At 38.8% G+C, this 21351-nt stretch overlaps 5 annotated features.

Moving 5' to 3' along the window:
* Nucleotides 5166-5475: an enhancer, noted in NCBI's record as "active region_20685". NCBI's record gives its function as "activates an Ori minimal core promoter by ATAC-STARR-seq in GM12878 lymphoblastoid cells {active_cell/tissue: GM12878}" and the evidence as "EXISTENCE:reporter gene assay evidence [ECO:0000049][PMID:35858748]".
* Nucleotides 5534-5703: an enhancer, noted in NCBI's record as "experimental_65240 CRE fragment used in MPRA reporter constructs". NCBI's record gives its function as "activates a minimal promoter by MPRAs in K562 erythroleukemia cells, with activity observed for both the introgressed and non-introgressed 3:150103123 variant alleles {active_cell/tissue: K562}" and the evidence as "EXISTENCE:reporter gene assay evidence [ECO:0000049][PMID:34662402]".
* Nucleotides 6076-6325: an enhancer, noted in NCBI's record as "active region_20684". NCBI's record gives its function as "activates an Ori minimal core promoter by ATAC-STARR-seq in GM12878 lymphoblastoid cells {active_cell/tissue: GM12878}" and the evidence as "EXISTENCE:reporter gene assay evidence [ECO:0000049][PMID:35858748]".
* Nucleotides 18798-19092: an enhancer, noted in NCBI's record as "tiled region #6181; HepG2 Activating DNase unmatched - State 1:Tss, and K562 Activating DNase unmatched - State 5:Enh". NCBI's record gives its function as "activates a minimal TATA promoter and a strong SV40 promoter by Sharpr-MPRA in HepG2 and K562 cells {active_cell/tissue: HepG2 | K562}" and the evidence as "EXISTENCE:reporter gene assay evidence [ECO:0000049][PMID:27701403]".
* Nucleotides 20051-20919: an enhancer, noted in NCBI's record as "NANOG-H3K27ac hESC enhancer chr3:150087822-150088690 (GRCh37/hg19 assembly coordinates)". NCBI's record gives its function as "activates a minimal SCP1, AML or CMV promoter by ChIP-STARR-seq in naive H9 embryonic stem cells {active_cell/tissue: H9 hESC(naive)}" and the evidence as "EXISTENCE:reporter gene assay evidence [ECO:0000049][PMID:30033119]".

Below are 21351 nucleotides of genomic sequence, written 5' to 3'. Positions count from 1 at the left end.
TAAGATACATATTTAAATATCTTCTTGTTTTAACTTTTACATGATATAAAATAATCAGTTTTCCTATCCTAGAAAGATAGGCTTTAAAGATAATTTATTTAGTCCAATTAGATAGCTATTTTGATGTCCTGTAGACACAACTTGAATGCTTATGTGTCACATATGGCCTAGTACCATGAGAAGACTTCAGGAACGCTCAAGACCTGTAGGTGATGGAATAGTCAAAACATGCCCCATCCAACCAGTCTCCCAAATTGCTACATAACCCCTTGAGACCCTGTGAATCATAGTTTATAAGCAACTATTCATAGATTTAGGCATTTTCCCCAGGGTGTTATTTATATGAGGCTGCTAATGATCAACTTTAATATGTGTATATATTTTCTTTGCTAAGTATTAACTCTAACACCTGACTCACAAAAGTGGAGGGAGGGGGGAAGGAAAAATCCACTAAGTTAGAGAGGCCAGAGAGACCCCTTGCAGAGAGAGGATGGCAAAGAAAGTCAACCTTTGAAGAAAGGCCTCCCTAAGGAACAAGGACCATGTGGTCCTCTGATCCTCTGTAATCTAAGTGCCAAGACTTGGTGCCAAGAATAAATGATCCTGGTTGATGAAGAGCAATCTGCCACTTCTAAGCTTTGATCAAAGCTCAGAAAACCATCTCTGTGCTGCTGCTTCTCACATCTGCTCACATTTTAACAGTTTAGTGCCTATAACAGGAAGTGCCTATTTTCACATTGAAATTCTTTCATTCAGTAGAAATATTTTTGTTTTAAATAATTTAAAAATATAACCAGTGAGCATCTTTAAATTTTCATAATTGGCTCACAGTAAAATAGATTTCTCACCTCTGATTTAGGTGAAATAACATTGTTTCTGCTTTGTTGTATTCTACTTTCTCTACCTCAAACAGGAACAAAAGTTCTTTTAATAATCAATTGAGCTCATCAGTTTCTTTAATTGAACACTTGCCAGATTCTGGGGATACCAAGATGACTGTGAAAGAGTATCTTCCCTGGAGGAACTCAATTTCTATTTGGGGGTGATAGTGGAGAGAGGGGAACCCAGATTTGGAAAGAGACAATGGTGATAAGAATGACAATAAAAGTATGTACAAAGGTTAAGATAACACAAAAGATAGAAAGGCCAACCCTGGAACTTTCCCAAAAGGCTTCCACAGAAGAGATAAAGTTGTGGCTTGATTTCCCAGTTCTTGTGAGAGCTTGCCAGTCAGGCAAGGCAGAGACTTTGAAGATACTCATGAAGAACAGTGAAGAAACAGAGCTTAGAACCAAACAGTATGTTTGGAGAATGGCACAAAACTCCATGTGGCTGTGTTAAGCAGTGAATGTGGGAAGGTAGTAGGAGGTGAGAACCAAGAAACAAGAGATAGAACATTCTATAGATAAATAACAGGAGTGACAGGCTCCAAGATGCATTGTCAAGAGAACATGTGATGGTGAGGATGGGCTGGAGTGAGATGAGAACCTATTTAGAAGTAGTCCAGGTAAGAGATATGGAGGTCCTGAATTATGGCAATAACATATCAAGGATGGATGATAACTAATTATAAATCATCTAAAAACGTGAAGTACCATGTAAAACCATACAAAGATATTAATTATTGATATTAATTTTCTGCATGACCTTGGAGTCTGTTGTGACAACCCACCCCTAGTTTAGTAAACACTTGCTGTGGCCAAGCCAAATGCACAATGCCATCTACTGTAGGTGTGTGCTACCGTCACACAGCCCTCTCATGACTTCCCAGGATTTACTAGGAAGGCTATTTGTGGAACAAGCTCATTTTAGCCTCTTAAATATCATAAAATAAACTGAGATTGCCCATTTTATTTTAAGTATCCTGCAGAAGACAATTAACTTTGTTTCCAGCACAAAAGATAATGCCAATATAACTTTGGTGAAACGTAAAATGGTGAAATTTAAGGATATGGCTGAAGATGCCTATGATTTTATAGGCTTTTCACTTAGATGAATGAATGGATGACTTTGCCACAGCATTTTCAGCATTCCAGGCGTGTGATAAAATGGAATCCAGTTCAAGTTTCTTTTAACCTTCATTTTTAGGAACCTGTGATTACATATATAAAATATAAATATACACGTTTGGATTTGACAGTGATTTAACATTTTGACCAAATACCTGTGCTAAATTCATCCATGAGACAGCTGAGGAAATCATTTCTGGAATAATTTTTACTGTTCTTCAGTGTTCCTCAGGCAGGAAGCCACAGGAAACAAAGTATTGTGGTGCATATTTCCCTGCAGGATTTGGTGTGTCATTCACTGTGGAGAATTTTGCTTTCCAGCTGCCTATAGTTCATATTTTTGTACTTGCTTTTCCCTCCAGGATAATTTGATGAAGTCAGTTCCTCAGAGATAGAAAATGTCTTTGTATCTTTTTAAGATCAGATTTGTTTCTTTTCCCAACTGAGAGATAAACTTGATTAAAAAGAAAACATGTAAGTAGCCGGGATTAATTATTTTGACATATGAAATAACCATGATCGCAATATGAAATAGTCATTAGATAATTTTAATAATCTAATAGGGTAAGTGCCTTTGGTTGAATGAAAATAAGGTCTGTCAAAATTTTGGATCAGTTTAAGATGTAGTAAATTAGAACCTGGAATATAGAAATGAAAACCACCCTTTTTCGAGAGAACTTCACTATTCTTTTATTAGGTCTAATTTCTACTTTAAAGTTTTTCTACCCTCCTTTTCCTCTCACTTCCCTGCGAAACATTGTCCCACTCCTAGATGAGAAAATGGCAGAATAAAATGTTTTAAAATCAGAACTAATATCCTCACGTTAAGCAACTATTTTTTTAAACACCTACACCAGTGGGTTTTCAACCCTGCCTGTAAGAATCACTGGAGGAACTTTTTAAAAATGCACAGAACTTCACGCCTATAATTCCAGCACTTTGGGAGGCCAAGGCAGGCAGATCACTTGAGGTCAGGAATTCGAGACCAGCCTGGCTAACATTGTGAAACCCCGTTTCTACTAAAAATACAAAAAAAATTAGCCGGGCATGGTGGCACGCGCCTGTATCCCAGCTACTCGGGAGGCTGAGTGAGGCAGGAGAATCACTTGAACTGGGGAGGCAGAGGTTGCAGTGAGCCAAGATCGCGCCATTGCACTCCAGCTTGGGCAACAAGATTGAAACTCCGTCTCAAAAAAAAACAAAACAAAAAAACCAAGCCACACAGATTTCACCTTCTGAATTACTAATTTGATTCATATGGGGTGGGACCTGAGTGTTCACATTTCTCAGAACCTCCCAGGCCGACTTTAATGTACAGTAGAGTTGAGACCACTGGCCTCTACTGTCCTTTGCATAGGTGTCCCTAGGCTCTTTTTCAACCTGCCAAACCTGATTTCTCTATCACCCACTTAAAGATTACACTTGGGGTAACAGTGACAATCAAGCTCTGTGGTGTCCAAAGTGAGGGGTGCAAGATGATGTATTAGAGTGTGAGAAAAATATAAGAAGTTTATTTTTTAATCACATCCTTTAATGATACGTTTTTTAAATATTTTATGATGCACATAATATATTAGTACAATAGATTGGGGGAAGGGAGACAGAACAGAAAACACCATTTTTGCTGCTATAGAGATCCCCTAATTCTCTGCTTTCAATGAGAGCAGTTTCAATGTTGGCTTTTTGATGTCTACTGATTGCTGCAGACTTCTCTAGAGCTAAGTATGGAGTTTTATAAGACGCATGTCCTCCACTGCACAGCTGTATTCTATGACCAACCACAGAACACAATCTTTTTTTTTTTTTTTTTTTTTTTTTGAGACAGAGTTTTGCTCTTGTTGCCCAGGCTGGAGTACAATGGCGCAATCTTGGCTCACAGCAACCTCTGCCTCCCAGGTTCAAGTGATTCTCCTGCCTCAGCCTCCCGAGTAGCTGGGATTACAGGCATGCGCCACCATGCCCAACTAATTTTGTATTTTTAGTAGAGGTTTCTCTATGTTGGTCAGGCTGGTTTCGAACTCCTGACCTCAGGTGATCCGCCTGCCTCGTCCCCCAAAGTGTTGGGGTTACAGGTGTGAGCCACCGTGCCCAGCCTAGAACAGTCTTTCTTGCTAGGTCTTTGTCCTTCCCAGGGTTCCTGATACAGCTTTACCTCCTGATCCCTTCTCTTAGTAAAATTTCTTCTCACCTTTCCAAATTCTTCTAAAATGCACAAGCATTTTTGGGTACAGTAACAAGAGAGGCTTTAATGTAGAAATGCCACCAAAATATCCCCTGATGGTAAGACTTTTTGAGGTATAATGACATTGTGGTCACTTTTTTTTTTTTTTTTTTCTGAGATGGAGTTTCACTCTTGTCACCCAGCCTGGAGTGCAGTGGCATGATCTCAGCTCACTGTAACCTCTGCCTCCCGGGTTCCAGCGATTCTGCTGCCTCAGCCTCCTGAGTAACTGGGATTACAGGTGTGCACAACCACACCCAGATAATTTTGTATTTTTGGTAGAAATGGGGTTTCACCATGTTGGCCAGGCTGGTCTCAAACTCCTGACCTTGTGATCGGCCCGCCTCAGCCTCCCAAAGTACTGGGATTACAGGTGTGAGCCACCGTGCCCAGCCATTACTACAATAATTAAAAAAAAAAAAAAAAAAACTAATATGAGAAGCGGGAAAATGGCTGTGGTTGAATGACATGATTGACCAGGATTAGACAATTGTTGGATCAGAGTACTGGGTACATGAAGGTCATTATTATATTCTGCTTACTTTTTTGTATGCTCAATTTTTCATAATAAAAAGTTAAAAAAATCTTTTGAATCATTTATGGTTCATTTATTTAAAAAGAACCCCTCCTGCCACCTCCCCCCAGCCCCATATAAGGGCACCCCAAACCACAACTCTTGGGCTTGAATAATGTGTGAATCTATTTCAGATTTGGGCTTCAGACTGGTGTGAATTCTGCTCCTTCTGAGGCTGATTTCTTCCTTCCTCGCCCTCACTGACCACTTTCTTTTGTCCCAATGGCTATCTCTCAACCTGCCCACAATCACTTTCTTATAGTTAGCCTCCCCTCTTCTATCTTGTGTCTTTCATCTGCCTTCGTGGTTTTCTTTTCAAGTCATTTGTTCCCTGCCTCACCCCAAATCCCCTTCAGACATCAAATACTCAAATCTAGTCAGCATTCTCAGGCCATTTTCTTCCCTCTCCACCTAGTTCTGCCAGGCAGCCTGCCTCCCACTCCTGCCTCCATTCTGGGGGATGGTGTGCCAGCAGCACCAGAGTAGGAACTTCCCACCCTTCTTTTGCGAGCTGAGCTGACCTGGCTCTGGCCTGAGGTCTCATCCTGTGTGCTCTGAGTCTTTCAGCCTCATGTCACAATCCTCCATGAGGGGATTTCAGATACTTGCAGATTGGGAGGAGGTGACCTTTCTGCTTTTTTTTGCTGGGCCCGGTGGAAACCACCCCATCCCCTACCCCCACCTTCCTTGTACTGTAAAATGGGAAGTCTCGATGCAGGTTTCAGAGTTTCTGTTGGGGGACTTTCTAGGATGCCTATAAATTTTCGAGGTTTTGCACCCCTTTTAAATATACAAGCTCTTCTGAAAGTCCCTAAGGCATTTAGCATCATAGCTATAATCTCTAATATTTGAAGGATTTCAGGGTCTTCAAATAACTTGGATATATACCATCTCACTTGTACATTTTTTCCCTGTTCTTTTGTAACACAGCACCTGATTTGCTCTTCCTGCCACCATAGCGGTTCAAAGAGTCACTCTCCTCCACTTTGTTACACGCTCCATTTCACTGTTCGAATATTTTTTTTTCCCCTAGCAACTTTCTGGTCCCCTACCCCTAGCGTAGGTAGTAGATACTGCATCACCACTTCCCTTTCCCCTACTGCTCTGTGACCTACCACGTGAACATGAGAAAAGTGTCCGTCAGTGTGAACGAGCTCGCATCACAGTGTTGGGCAGCTGCATTCATTTTGACCTATAGTGAGGCCCGGGTTGGAGAACTAAGGGGGAGGGGCTGGAGCGGGAGAGGGAAGAAGAAACAGATACTTGTTCACTTTCCCTTCTCTCTCTGCACTTCCAATTTTAGAGAGGCTGGAGGCTAATTTCCCAGTTATAACAAGGGCCTTCACTTCAGCTTGTGTTTCAAACACTAGGAGAACTAAACTTAAAACTTTCTAGCCTCACTGGCGATCGCATGACTGAGATTAAATAGGGAAAGGGAAGAAAAAGAGGAAGAGAAGAAAAGAAAAGGGAGAGAGAAGAGACAAGCAAAGAAGGAGAAGAGAAGGACAGAATGAGAAAACATTTACTCTCATTTCTTTCTTTCTTTTTTTTATTGTTATTTTTTCTGAGACAGGGTCTGGATCTGTTGTTCAGGCTGGAGTGCAGTGGCGCGATCATGGCTCATTGCAGCCCTGACCTCCCAGTCTCAAGCAATCCTCCCACCTCAGCCTCTCGAGTAGATGGGATTATAGGCACACACCACTATGCCCGGCTAATTTTTGTATTTTTTGTAAAGACCGGGTTTTCCCATGTTGCCCAGGCTGCTTTTTTTTTTTTTAATTTACTTCTTATATTAGAAGAAAGCTGGGGTATCCTGTGACTTATTAAAATGCATTTCACTGGACTTCTGATGTGGTATTTAAAATGTCCAATTGTCAGGTAAACTATTGCTGTGCTAGGATTTATAGGCAAACTGAGGCAGTTTTTCAGATACTTTCTAAAGCAGGAAGTTCCTGATATTGAAGAGGCAGTTTGTTCTTGACCATATTTATCCAAGGCTACTTCACAGCACCTCAATAATCTATTTCATATAAGATGTATTTGATATCAGGTTGACATTTTGACACAATTTTCCAGACCATTGAAGGAAATTGCTTAAAACTTTTTCTTTTGTCTAGGCAGGCAAGACCACCTATATGTTGATAAGTCTGGTTTGTTCTTTTTGTATAAATCCTGGCAGGAGCATAAAAACAGTATTTGTCTTTTATTATTACAGTGGTGATATGTTCACTTAAGGAAATCAAATATAGAAAAAGTACAAAAAAAGAAAATATGTTATACAAATATGTATAAAAAGATTTTTTAATATAAATTTTATTGTAGTATAACATACAGAAAATGCACAAATTGTAAGTGTGCAGCTTGATGAATGCCACAAAGTGAATATACCCATGTAACCAACAGACTAGGACAGCGCTCCAGAAAGAGAACATAACAGCACCCCAAAAGCCTCCCTCATATCCCCTTCCAGGCACTATGCTGAAAGTGTTATCATGATCCTGACTTTTAAAGCATAGATCTTCTCCCCTCGGCCCCTGGTTTTGGACTTTTTAATAAATGGAATCATACAGTAGTATGTAGTATTTTTTGGGGGGGTGCCACTTCCCATCTTGCTTGTGAGAGCCATTCAGTTTTTGTATATGGCTCATTTCCTTTCCTTTTCTTTTCTTTTGAGACAGAGTCTCGCTCTGTTGCCAGAGCCCAGATCATGTGATGGTATGATCTCGGCTCACTGCAACCTCTGCTTTCTGGGTTCAAATGATTCTCCTGCCTCAGCCTCCAAAGTAGCTGGGATTACAGGCACCTGTCACCACGCCTGTCTAATTTTTGTATTTTTAATAGAGATGGGGTTTCACCAGGTTGGCCAGGTTGGTCTCGAACTCTGGGCCTCAAGTGATCCACCCGCCTTGGCCTCCCAAAGTGCTGGGATTGCAGGTATGAGCCACCGTGCCCAGCCTATGGCTCATTTTTGTTGTTGTATAGTATTCCATTGTATGAATATACTACAGTTTATTTAAACATTCCATTTTTAATGGACATTTGTGTTGTTTTCTCATCTTAAGCCATTATAAATGGTGCTGCTATTAACATTTTTATAAATCTCTTCTAGTGGATATGTGCACTCCTTTCTCTCCTAGGAAAGGGAGTGTTGGGTTATGTGGCGAGCATATGTTCAGCTTTAATAGATAATGCTAAACAGTTCTCCAAAGTGGCTATACCAATTATACACTCTTGGCAGTCATGTTTAAAAGTTCTACCTGTTTCACTTTCTTGTCAACACTTCATATGCACAGTCTAAAAAGGCAAGGCCATTGAAGGTAATAGTTTACTTGATATTCTTCTTTTACCTAGACAGACAAGACATATATATTTATTCTTTTCATATAAATTCAGCAGGAGCATATCGATCATATGTGTTTTTTTGTTTGTTTGTTTGTTTGTTTTTGAGACGGAGTTTCACTCTTGTCACCCAGGCTGGAGAGCAATAGGGTGATCTCGGCTCACTGCAACCTCCACCTCCTGAGTTCAAACAATTCTCCTGCTTCAGGATCCTGAGTAGCTGGGATTACAGGTGCGTGCCACCACGCCTGACTAATATTTTGTATTTGTAGTAGAGATGGGTTTTCACCATGTTGGCCAGGCTGGTCTCGAACTCCTGACCTTAGGTGATCCACTTACCTTGGTCTCCCAAAATGATGGATTACAGGTGTGAGCCACCGCGCCCAGCCAAAATGTGTATTTTTAATTGTAATGATGATATGTTCACTTAAAGAAATGCTGGAAAATTTTGGTCACTGTGGTGGTTAGGTAGTGGCATCTCATTGTGGTTTTCATTTCATATGTTTATCAGTCACTTGGATATCCTGTTTTGTAAAATGTTTCCTCAAATTGTTTGCCTATTTTTCAACTGGGTTGTCTGTTTTTCATATTGACTTACAGGAGCCTTTTTTAATATTCTGGATGAGTCCTTTTGCCAGATTTGTAGTGGAAATACAGATTTGTAGTGGAAATATCTTCTCCCATTCTGTGGCTTGCCTTTTCACTCTTAATGGTGACTTCTCATGAAATAGAAGTTCTTAATTTTAATGTAGTCCAGTTTATCAATTTATTTTGTGATTAAAGCTTTCTGTGTCCTGTTTGAGAAATATTTGCCTATTTTAAGGTCATGGGTATTTTCTTATGTTTTATTCTAAAAGTCATATTACCTTTTACATTTAGATCTACAATACATCTAAAACTGATTTTTGTGTATAGTTTGAGGTAGAAGGTCAAATTTTGTTTTCATGTGTGTATCTAACTGATCCATTATCATTTATTGAAAAGACCACTCTCTCCCCATGCAATGTGAGTTTTAATGGGCTCATGGTATTTTATCATATAGATGTGACACTTAACAGTCAAGAGAGCATTTCAGTTGACCATTTTCTTATTTATTTTCCTGATATTTGACCCAAGTGATCTAAAAGAAAAATCTATTGAAATGAGTGCTAAAAGTACCTTATTCTGTAAAGAATAAGTATCAAAATGCTAAAAACAGCCAAGCATTTGTTAAAATATGGCAAAGTTCTTAGTTATAATTCTCAGTTGGTTGTTAGAAGCCAAATAAAAGGTAGATTTTAAAAAGTGAGTTTTGACTGGAGACTTACATAAATCAATATTTGTGGAGGGCTTAGGTTAATTCTAGTTAATGATGATGCTGGCCTTATTTTATTAGATGTACATTAAGCAGATGAATAATTAAACTGCTCTTTAATATATCTGAAGACCAGTTTGGGCAAGGTAGCAAATTATTGATAAAACTTGACTTGAGAATAAATTACACCATTGATATTTATTGTTACTAAACTACTAGCAGTCATTTACTCAGTGACTTCTTTTGAGGTAGCTTTATTTAAGATGCCCCATAATTTTAAAGGTATTAGAAAGCTGGAAACTTAGAAGAGTTAATTTGACAAAGATGGCTATAATCCAAGCTTAGCTAGGAAGTAAGTTCTGTATACAGTAATGATGTACATGTGAACTTTATAAATCTAACATTTTTGAATGGCTAGAACAATAATTTTGTATGGTTGGATTTATTATTTATTTATTTATTTTTGACACGGAGTTTTGCTCTTGTCACCCAGGCTGGAGTGCAGTGGTGGGATCTTGGCTCACTGCAACCTCTGGCTCCCTGGTTCAAGCTATTCTCCTGCCTCAGCCTCCCAAGTAGCTGGGACTACAGGCGTGAGCCACCATGCCTGACTAATTTTTGTATTTCTAGTAGAGACAGGGTTTTGTCATATTGGCCAGGCTGGTCTCAAACTCCTGCCTCAAGTGATCTGCTGGCCTCATCCTCCAAAAGTGCTGGGATTATAAGCATGAGCCACCACACCCAGCCTTGGTTGGATTTACTCTGATGAAAGAAGCATGAAGTCAATTTCCCAATGGACTTTGTATATATTATAATATAGCATGATACTGGAGGAACTTGCTATTAGTCTTATTTTTAGTTACTGGGAAAGTGTCAATGATATTAATTAGCCTTTGACATGGAGTTTTTCTCTCCATTAAGTACCTATATTATTATGAAATCTAATGTATTTAATTTTAAAAAATTAACGTTATAGAGCCTAATAGTTCTGCTATTTAAAGTGGTTGTAATTAAAATAAGCAAGATGGGTTTGTGATGAATAACCTTAATTTGTTTTGCACTGGGTTGAACAGAAATGATTCATTTTACTTAAAAAATCTGACTAATCTGCAGTGCATAAAAATGCATTCGAATTCAAATTTAACCTTTAGTAATTAGTTTTTTCATAAAACTTATATTAGTATATATTTATATATATTTATCTTTACACATATTAGCCATTTTTAGTTCTGTTGAAATTATTTTAAGATGAATAAATGTGGTGAAATTAGACTTATTGAGACTCTTGCACCTTCTACTTTCACATGTGCAAACCAAACTATTATATCTTTTCAAAAGTCCTATTACCTTATTTATTTAATGCTTCTACTGAACAAAATTACTGGAAGCTAGACATTATCACAATTAGGCTTGTGGGTTATGGAGAATGATTTAGACCAGTTTCCTAAAGTCTGTTTTACAAAATACTTGTTCACATGATTAAAACAGTATTGTATTCAAACAAATCAAGACAAAACAAAAAGCATACAGTGGTCAGATTAATTTGGGAAATAAAAGTGTACCAGGTTTTCCACATGCTGAGATATTCAGAGCCTTAAATATGCTAATGTACATTGTGAGTGCCCAGGTGGTGGTGAGGTGGGGGTTGGGAGAGTAGTATTTCCCAAACTGAGGCTTCCCAGCAACTCCAGGGCTTAGTCTAGTGTTTCTGGGCTATTCTTCATGGAATGTTGGCTTATAAAAACCTGCACCAAGCCTGGCAAGGTGGCACATTCCCATAGTCCCAGTTGCTGGGGAGACCGAGGCAGGAGGATCACTTGAGCCCAGGAGTTGGAGGCTGCAGTACACTATGATTGGGCCTATGAATAGCCACTACACTCCAGTTTGGACAACATAGCAAGACCCCATCTCTTTAAAAAAAAACCCTATTTTGCCCTAAGATCACCAGTTCAGCATAGCCTCTGGCCACCCCTCCTGTAGTAGTCCATTTTCACACTGCTGTAAAGAAATACCTAGGGCAGGTATGGTGTGGTGGCTCATGCCTATAATCCCAGCACTTTGGGAGGCTGAGGCAGGCAGATCACTTGAGTCCAGGAGTTCGAGACCCTGGTCTCGAATGAAACCCTGTCTCTACCAAAAATACAAAAATTAGCCAGGTGTGGTGGTGTGTGCCTGCAGTCCCAGCTACTTGCTACTTGGGAGGCTGAGGTGAGATAATCACTTGAGCCCAGGAGGCAGAGGTTGCAGTGGGTTGAGATAGCGCCACTGCACTCCAGTCTGGATGACAGAGTGAGACCCCATCTCAAAAAAGAAAGAAAAGAAGTACCTGAGATTGTTTATAAAGAAAAAAGGTGTAATTGGCTCATGGTTCCACAGGCTATACAGGAAGTGTGGCTGGGGAGGCCTCAGGAGACTGATAATCATGATGGAAGGCAAAGGGAAAGCAGGCAAGTCTTACATGGCTGGAGCAGGAGCAAGAGATGGGGCGGGGGAGGTGCCATACACTTTTAAACAACCAGATCTCGTGAGAACTCACTCACTATATGGTACCAAGGGAGGATGGTGCTAAACCATCCATGAGAACTCCGCCCTCATGATCTGATCGCCTCCCACCAGACCCTGCCTCCAACACTGGGGATTACAATTCAACATTATATTTGGTGGGGACACAGATCCAAACCATTATCACCTTCCAAGGCTCCAAGTCTGAACTAGACCTGAAAATGTTGGTGCTTTTCTCTGCGTTTTGTTCCTGGACTGGAAAGTTACTGTACTACTGGTTTCTATATGGAAGGAGTTTGAATCCCTTTTATATCCTTGAACTAGATCTCAACCAGCTCCTTCCTTCCCTCCGCAAATATCTGAGCTCTTACTCTGCCCTCAGGATCAAGCAGTCTTGCCCTGGTTCCAGGCATCACTGGCTCCTCCTCAATTCTCTGCCGTGATTAGACCACATGATCTTATGTTTTCCTTTTTCTCTCTTACTACTCTTTAGTACACTAGAGTAGCACTTATCACTATGCTTTTATCTGTTTGTTAATTGTCTGACTTACCGCATAAGACCATAAACTCCGAGACATCAGGGACTTCGCCTCTCTTGTTCTTTATTTCTCAGTGCTTACAACAGCGCTCAGCACACAGTAGGTTCTTTAAAAGACCCAACCTCTGTGGTCAGGGAACTTGCATTCTAGAGGGAGAGAGATACAAATGTGGAATCCATGTCTTGCCAGTTTTGCTTAAGGTAAACATACGATGCTATGGGACTTCCAAGGAGGACCTCTGCTCTTGTTTGTGTTGGGGGAGTGTCAGGGATAGGCAAAGGGTGTCAAAGAAGACTTCCTACAGGCAACCTCTGAACTAAGTTTTAAAGGCCTAGTAGGGCAATGTTTTTGGCCAAGGAAACAACAACTCATGCAAAGGGCTGAAGGTGAGTCAGATGATTCAGATAAATGCACATGTCTCAGGGAGGGCAGTTGGCAGAGTGGAGGAATTGAGGCTAGCAAGTTAGGCAGAGAGAGATTGTGACAGGCCTGGGAGGTTGTGCTAAGGGGTTGGGACTTTATTTTTGAATTTGATGTGGAACACTAAAATTGGGAAAATTGTAATCATGCTCAAATTGGTATTTTGTTTCTGGTAGCAGCAAGGAGGGGATGAGTCTACAGGTGGGGAGGGCAATTTGAAGCCTTTGAAACCAAACAGATTTACTTACTGTTTAAGAGACATGTCATGCACCTTCCCCTTTCTCTTCTTTGCTCATAGTGGTTGATTTGGTGGAAAAAATTTTTTTTTCCATCTCTACATGGTCTAATGCTACCTATTGTTTAAGCCCCAGGTTGAATAAATGAATATAAGCACTGTGAGCCAAAAAGAACCAAGTGTATAACCTTGGATCTGTTTCTGAGAGTACATGGGAGGAGAGTATCCTGATCATTCATTTGTTCTGGGCATTTGAGACTATATAGAACTTTCAATGCTTTGTTGCTTTTTACATGCTAAACTCTATGTGAAATGCTATATTTACAAGGATTATCTATTTAATTCTTACATCTACCTATTTACTAGGTATCATTATTAGCTTTGTATTATGGATTAATCAACTGAAACACAGTTTTGTAAATAAGTTGTTCAAAGTCAGACCACTGTTAGTAAAGATTAGAAATCTTGGAAGATTGGCACTAGAACCATAATAGTAACATTACCTTGTAAAAAGCATTTGACTAAAAATCAATAGAGGTGGTTTTTGGTTAAAAATGAATAGCAATCATATATTCAGCTTAACCCAGTAAGACAGTTGTTATTATCCCCATTTTAATAGATTAGAATACTATGGATTTGTGCGTTTACATTAATTGTACAAGGCCACACAGCTTGGGATTTTAACCCAGGTCTACATGATTTCAAAGTCAAAGATTTCAACCACTTGGAAATGTTCCTCCTGGCAGCTCTTGTATTAATTTATTTGAATGGCTTATGACTTTAAACTCGGAGGTATCAACTCTGCCTGGAAAATGATAGAATTGGACTAGCTGGCATCTAGGACCTCTTCTGCTCTGCAATTCATGCTCTAAGAGCATCCCAGAGCCCTTGTTAATTTCTTCCCTTGTCATTCACCTTCACTGCTTTGTGTTGGATTTACTCCCTCAAATAGTGAGAGACACAAAAATAAAAATTGTGACCTGGATAGGTAGCTTGCAACGTAAGCATGGAGCAGAGTGCAGAGTGCTGGCTCCCAGCCAACTGGAAACTAAACAAGTAAATGAGATGACAACAAACCTGAAGCCAAGCTCCATACCACCAAAGTATTGGAGGAAAGCACTGGGGAAATGACCACAGCACTTCAAGGTCACTCAGAGGTCCAGTGAGAATCATGAGGGAGTAATAAAACATATGTTAACCAACTAGTGCATGTGTCAACTGTGGTGTAGGGATAGGGCTGAGAATGGAATTCTGTGAGGAAAAACCAGGACTTAGTTGATAGTCTGTAGAGACAACACTGTGTTGGAAATAAAGGCAGAAAAAAAGCAGGTCAGTTGGGTGACACCTGATCAAGGCAGTTTGTCTAAAATGGAAAGATCACATGCCATTCGAGGACATTTCCTGGGAAATGAGTTTGCAGAAAACCATGCTTTAGTGGACAAATAGCTGGGAAAGCTTTCAGGGGAAAAGATGCAGGTCATGTTTGTGTGGCTAATTACATCATATTTATTTGAGGCTTTGAGGGATGCAATTAGTAATTTGCCTTCTTAGGGTTTTCACCTCAGGAAGACAAAAGCATAGAAGATGAGAAAGGGTCAGATTTTAAGGGAGTGTAGAAAAAAAGGCTTAGTTGGCACGTGATAAAGAAAAAAAGTAGGAAAATAGAAACCTTTGTTGTGCAATCCATGTGCAATACAACTGCAATAGATCATTAGGAAGGGAGGCCCCATTCCCAAATGCTGCAGGCCTCTCTACAATTGCTTAACTGTCTCTGTCTGAAATATTGAGGCAAAGTTATATAGAAAATGAATTGTCACAGACCCAGAAACATTCTCATAGTGGAATGTTTTCCAGTGTTGTAAATTTGATGAGATTCAGTTCTTTTTAGTAAGGTTAATTTAGTCAAATTTTCAAAACTGAGGACTGGTGATTGGAGATACCCATTTCATTAGCTTTCTGTCTAACTTTTTCCACACAGAATGAGGTTCATTTAAACAAGGCACATTTACCATATATTAAAGAGACAGAATAGTGCCCAATTAATGTAAAAAATAAAGACTGGAGACATACTGACATGCAAATAAAGGGATAGAAAAATAAAATATACACTTCTAGGGTTCCAAATGCTATGAAATGAAGTTCTAAAAATGTGACCTAACTGTGATGGTGACCTAACTCACCAAACCTCTATGTCACAGCTAAGAGTCTTTGAGGATAAAAACAGGAATAACGAAACTGCTTTAGTATGAGTGGTGATATAATGTAAATAGTTCTCCAGAGATAAATGTATTAATAAGGTAGAAACTTGAGACACTTCACAGATGTTTAAGTGTTTGGGAAAAAATAGAGAACCTTCCTTAAGCAAAGTAACACACGTAACATAGTGCCTGATATTTAGTAGATCCGCAGTAAGTCTTCCTTTTCCTCCCTTTCTCATCTCTAAAGTAGTGAACAAGGGAAAAATGAGACTAAGTCTCCTTATTCCTCCAATACTTGTATTGGACTGAAGCCAGGTTTGCATAAAGCCACTGTAGGGAAGAGCACTAACACTTGTAGAACCAGGTCTAACACTTTCAGGAATGGGGCCAGCAAATAAGCATATAATATTTATTGAGCACCTATTTCATTCCAGGCACTTTATATCAGAGATTTCATTTATGCTTAAAACAATCCAGTTTCCATTTTGAAGATGAAGAACCAGAGAATCAAAAGTTTAAACATTTGCCCAAAGTCAAATAGCTGCAAAAGTGGCAAAGTTGCTCACTGTGTCTGGCCCAAATTGTGCTGTTTCTTAAACTATGCAATTCTTAAAATCAACATATAAGCCCTGAGAGGGCAGCATGATCACCTGACTGATTTGCCTTAGGGATGATATAGAGACATTAATTGCTTTCACCCCTACATGCCTTTAAGTAAACAATGATATTATTTTTCTTCTTGCAAAGATAATACTAGTTTAATTGTAGAACACTTAAACATATGGAAAAGTAAAAAGAAAAAAATAGGTCATCTAAATCTTGTCACCCAGAGATAATCAGGGCTAACATTAGGCATCTCTCTAATGCTTTTTCTGTGCTTATATATTTGTAGATATTATACAATTTATGAAATACATACATACAAATACATACTTTCTGAAAATTGATCATAATGTACATACTTGATTTGCAAACTGATTCTTGCTCATTCAAACAGATTACATATGAAGAAAGTTTTTCTAACTTAAAATTATGAGAACTGGGTATTATAACAATATTTTGATAAACAATGCCATTTGCATTAATGAAAGTGCTACAATATTTATTAAGTTTATTGAGAGTGCCAGAGGAGGAATAAAACCAGTAAGAATGTTAAAGGCTTTTTACACCTACTAAAATAATATTCATTATGTGAAGCATAATAGCCTAATCTCGCACAGAATTGATGTCCAATGCTAATATCAGTGCTGAAAGTAAACAAAGTCCAATTGTATCTCCTGTGAAACTGGAAGTTTTGTATACCCTCAATCAGCGATAGAGAGCACCAGAGTAACTTACTTTCAGATATTAGGAGACCTCAAATTACCTATTATTTTACAAGCCTGGCTGAGAGAAATAATCAGAGAATACTAAGTGACACGCCACTTACCTACTCTTCTAGGGTACTCTTAAGTTCTATCCTTGAATCAAATAAGGTATATAGGCTATAATGTGCTTAGACATCTTGATTTCACTGACCTGAGGATCCCTGCAAGAAGCAGGTATGTGAAATTCACTCCTACGTTTACTGTAGAAATGCTATCGAGGGTAGCTCTACCACACCACTTAATGCCCCCAATATTAAACTCTTTGAATTTGTTTTAGATTTCAGTACCAGGAAAACATGTCTTGCTGAGAAACATATATGCTTCTTCCTTCATCATCATAGCAACAATTTTAATGATTGTGATTTCTAACCTCTTCTTCCCCAGCCAGGAAGCTGAGAGCCAAATTTGAAGCCAAATCAAAAAAATTATGTTAATTCTTAATATTAGCATCTTCTCATGTTACTCTTCCCTGGTATTGTTTTCTGTTTTCCTTTTATTACCCTCATTGTTACATTTGTATATAAAGGACGATTCTTCCTTATTTCTTTTCTCTCAATTTAGAAAGTGAAAGCAAGCATCTTTTTTGTTAAAGAAATGTAGCATTTTCGTTAGAAATTTCATTTCACTAGAAATGAAAATACTGTTTCACCACCTGATTATTTTGTTCATCTCAATTTGTGTAATCATATAGGATTTTTGTCTTGGCCCTTGAAATTTAGAAAGTACAGCTAGCTGCAGCACTCTTTTTAATCTTGGCTGCCCGTTAGTGAACCCTTTTGACCTAATGACTGACCTCTTTTCAGTTGAGAGAATTTTTCTTCTATTATTTCTTTGATGATGATTGCTTCCCCTTCATCTCATCTATTCACTCATGAAGATAATTATTTCTTAGAAATAAACACTTTTAAGGTGGCCAATTCACCTGATTTGCTTGTAACTTTCCCAGTTTTAGCACAAACCGGATGGTTGGTCACCCTACACTTGGCTAAGCTATTGAATCTCTGAGTATAGTGGTTTTCAAACTCTTCATCATGAGAATAGAGTTTTATATATTTTTAAATCTCCAATCCATTGTGGACTGATATTTTTGAAAATACAATAAAAATAAATACAACAAAAATGAGATAAAAAATATAAAAGACAAACCCAATTTTAAAAATTATTAGATTCAACAGAATTACAGTTACTCTGTCAAATTGCTCTGAAAATTTTAAATGAGGACTCTCAGTTTCTATTGGTTGCTTGTAAAATCTGCAGTCACCTAGTGGACAAAACTTTGAATAGTCCCACTCTAGGATTTCTCTAATCTGCTCTGATAATCCCTTGCATCTTCTCCACCCCACATTCCGTTCTCTGCAGCCTGGGCTAAATGCCTTTTTTGTGTTTACATACCCCATTACAGTAAGCTGTGTACTTCCTGAGGGGCAGTGATGAAGTCTTATTTATCTTTCTATGCCCAGCACTCAGCACACTGCCAGGCAAGAAGTTTGTTAGGCTGTTGTATTTATTCAATCTTTGTTGAGGCTAGAAGAAATTACAACCAAGTTTTAGTTATGGTTGTTTTGGGAAGGATGGGACTGTGGGGGCTTTGCTTATTTTTGTACTTTTCAGTGTTTTCTAAGTTTTTCTAACACATGTGTTAAAAATGGGAAGATTTAAGGATTATTCTAACAATCGATATTGTAGAATAAGTGACATCTACCTCATCATGGCTTGTGGTCAGTAAAAAGTCCCCTTTCACAGTGTAGTTGACTTGTAGGACAGAGCCCAGTTTGTGTGAGAAAAAGAAAACAATACTAAACAATCCTTGTCATCATTGAGGAACAGGATCCTACTCTCATCCTATTTCGATTAGGAAAGTCATCAAGAGATTAAAATTACTAATTTTGGAAGACAATCAGGAAATTTTGTACAAAATTCCTCCTAAATATAGAGGATAGAAAGTGTTTCCTTTTCACACTGGGTCCCTTTTCAAGTGGCCTGTGATATTGTGAAGTTTGATAACTACCTTGTTTGTATTACTCAGATGCTGGAATAACTGGATGGGATCATTTAAACTATGAGTGATGGGGTCCTGACTTCCCTACCCAAAGAATAGTACTATTTGAACTGGCAGTTAATCACAGCTTTTTTAAAAGTGACTTATCTCTAATGTACAATATGACTAATTTAGCAGCTAAGCAATTTCATTGTGATCTTGGTGTCCGTGGAATTCCTGTCACCTATCCAACAGTTAAGTCATATTGCATAACTGTGGGGTGACATCACCATGCTACAAGATTATTGGCTGGAGACAAGAAAAAAAAGTTTCCTGGACTGTAAGCCTTTCCGGTATCTGAACGAACGACTTGTGCTGTTACTGCAGTACAGCCAGAGAGAAAAGTAAAAAGGGATTTATAGTGGCTGGCTTTTGGTGTGTCACTGGAAATCACAGTCTGTAGCACACGAGGAGATTCTCCAATGTGCCTAATTATGAGATCTCTTCCCTTTGTGTCATATTCCACAGTATCGGTCATTAAGATGTGGGGTGAGACAGCCGAGACAATGGCATTCTCTTGTAATTAGAGCATTTTATTTTTCTAAGAACTTTATAGTCTTCCCTTTAGAAGCAATACTTTAAAAAAATGCAGTCCACCATCTGCTATACACATAGAAACTGAAGAGATGGTCAGCGGGGACCCAGCTGAAAACCTTTTATGGCTGAAAGCCCGTTTATTTCCCAGGGAACTGGTATACAGGTTAATCACCACATAATACATACATTTGATTTAATTGTATAAGATATCAAACTTTAAAACTACCCACAGAAATGCCTAAATCCTGGAGCAATAGCTGATTGAAATTTGGGAATATAATGGCTAACCTTTATTGTTTACTATTTATTGTTTACCATCACTGTTCTGGCTAAAATTTATTGTTTACTATTTATTGTTTATTATCAGGTTCGAAGTAATTTACATATATTAATTCATTAAATCCTATGAAGGCAATACTATTATTATTCCCAGGTTAAGGATGAGGGAATGGAGACTGTGAGATCACAAAACTGGAAAGGAGTAGAACCAGGATGTGAATCCAAGTGGTTCAGCACCACAGCACACAGTCTTAACTGTTGCCTTGCACTGTATATTTTGTAATAATAATAACAACAACAATTATTACTACTCCTGCTGTTGATACTACCACTGCTACTTCCATCTACTAAATGCTTTTTATCTGACAGACTCTGAATTATAACCATCATATCTCTTCATCAACTCTACGAGATAGAAACTGTGCCATTATTATCCCCACTTGATAGATTAGGAAAATGAGACACATAGAAAATCAGTCACACAGACAGTAGGTAACAAAGCAAGGATTCAACCTCTGTCTAGATCCAGACTCCATGCTTTTAACCACCATACTACACTGCTTTTCAATAGCTGCCATTTATTGAGTACCAACTAATGTGTAATCCTAACAAATATCCTGCATTGTAGGTATTATTAGTCCTAATTTACAGATGAGAGAATGGAGGTCCCAAGAAATCAGGTAACTTGCCAGTTTCTAAGCAGCAGAGCCAGAATTCTTCCAACTTCATTGAACACCATTATAACACAATACCTCTAAAAATTCGAAACAATTCTGATGCAGGATGACAGAATGTAAGTCAGGTAAAGGGCTGGTATCTCAGGAGTCACTTAGTGCAAAGAGTGATATCTTGGTCTGGGCATCCCCAAGGGTGGGGCCTGGTAAAAAGATGCTGGAAGTGTCTTACACGTCAGCAGTCACTGAGGGGTGGTGCTCTGATGGAGGGGCAGTCTTCCTTGAGTGCACCCTGTTCATCTGTGAATTCTGGATGATCCCCTGAGTGTGGGCAGATTCCTCTCTCTCCCGTCAATTCTCTTTCTCTTTTCATTCCCCTTGATATTTCCAAAACGGCACTCCTCTGCCCTCCTTCGTTTAGTAAGGAGTCTTGCACATGCTCAGTTCTCTTGCCTTGTAAGGGTTTTCTCCCCACCCCCAAGCCTCCTCTCCTTTTCTAGCACATATTCAGCCCTCTGGAATGTGGCCACCCATAAGCATGACACACATTTTCAAAGGGCTTTAGAAATGCATGTGATTAGTGAATTAAATTTTGTTAAAGGGGAAGTGTATCAATACTGCACATATGTAACCTGTTAATTTCACAGTATGGGCATCCTGCCTTCAAAAATATAATAATTTTAAAAATCGGAAATCACAATAAAAAGCAAAACAAACAAAGACTGAAAAACAGTTTGAATATTGCAAGAAAATTTACCCCAGAGTTTTTAAGTATAAAGAGCCTCTGTGGTTTATTTAAATTCTTATTCTATTAAAGGAAATCAAATGTATTCATTTATTCCTGGGGACACAGAGAATAAAAATATGTATGACACATCCAGCATGTACCTAAATACTTAAAAAGTGAAGTCAAGGCCAGGTGCAGTGGCTCATGCTTGTAATCCCAGCACTTTGGGAGGCCAAGGTGGGCAGATCACCTGAGGTCAGGAGTTCGAGACCAGCCTGACCAACATGGAGAAACCCTGTCTCTACTAAAAAAAATATGTAAAATTAGCTGGGTGTGGTGGCACATGCCTGTAATCTCAGCTACTTGGGAGACTGAGGCAGGAGAATCGCTTGAACCCG

This window comes from Homo sapiens, chromosome 3, assembly GCF_000001405.40.
Source record: "Homo sapiens chromosome 3, GRCh38.p14 Primary Assembly".
NCBI classification, from domain to species: Eukaryota; Metazoa; Chordata; class Mammalia; order Primates; family Hominidae; genus Homo; species Homo sapiens.
Note: the sequence above shows the minus strand (reverse complement) of the source record. Positions and strands in the feature narration are given on the sequence as shown.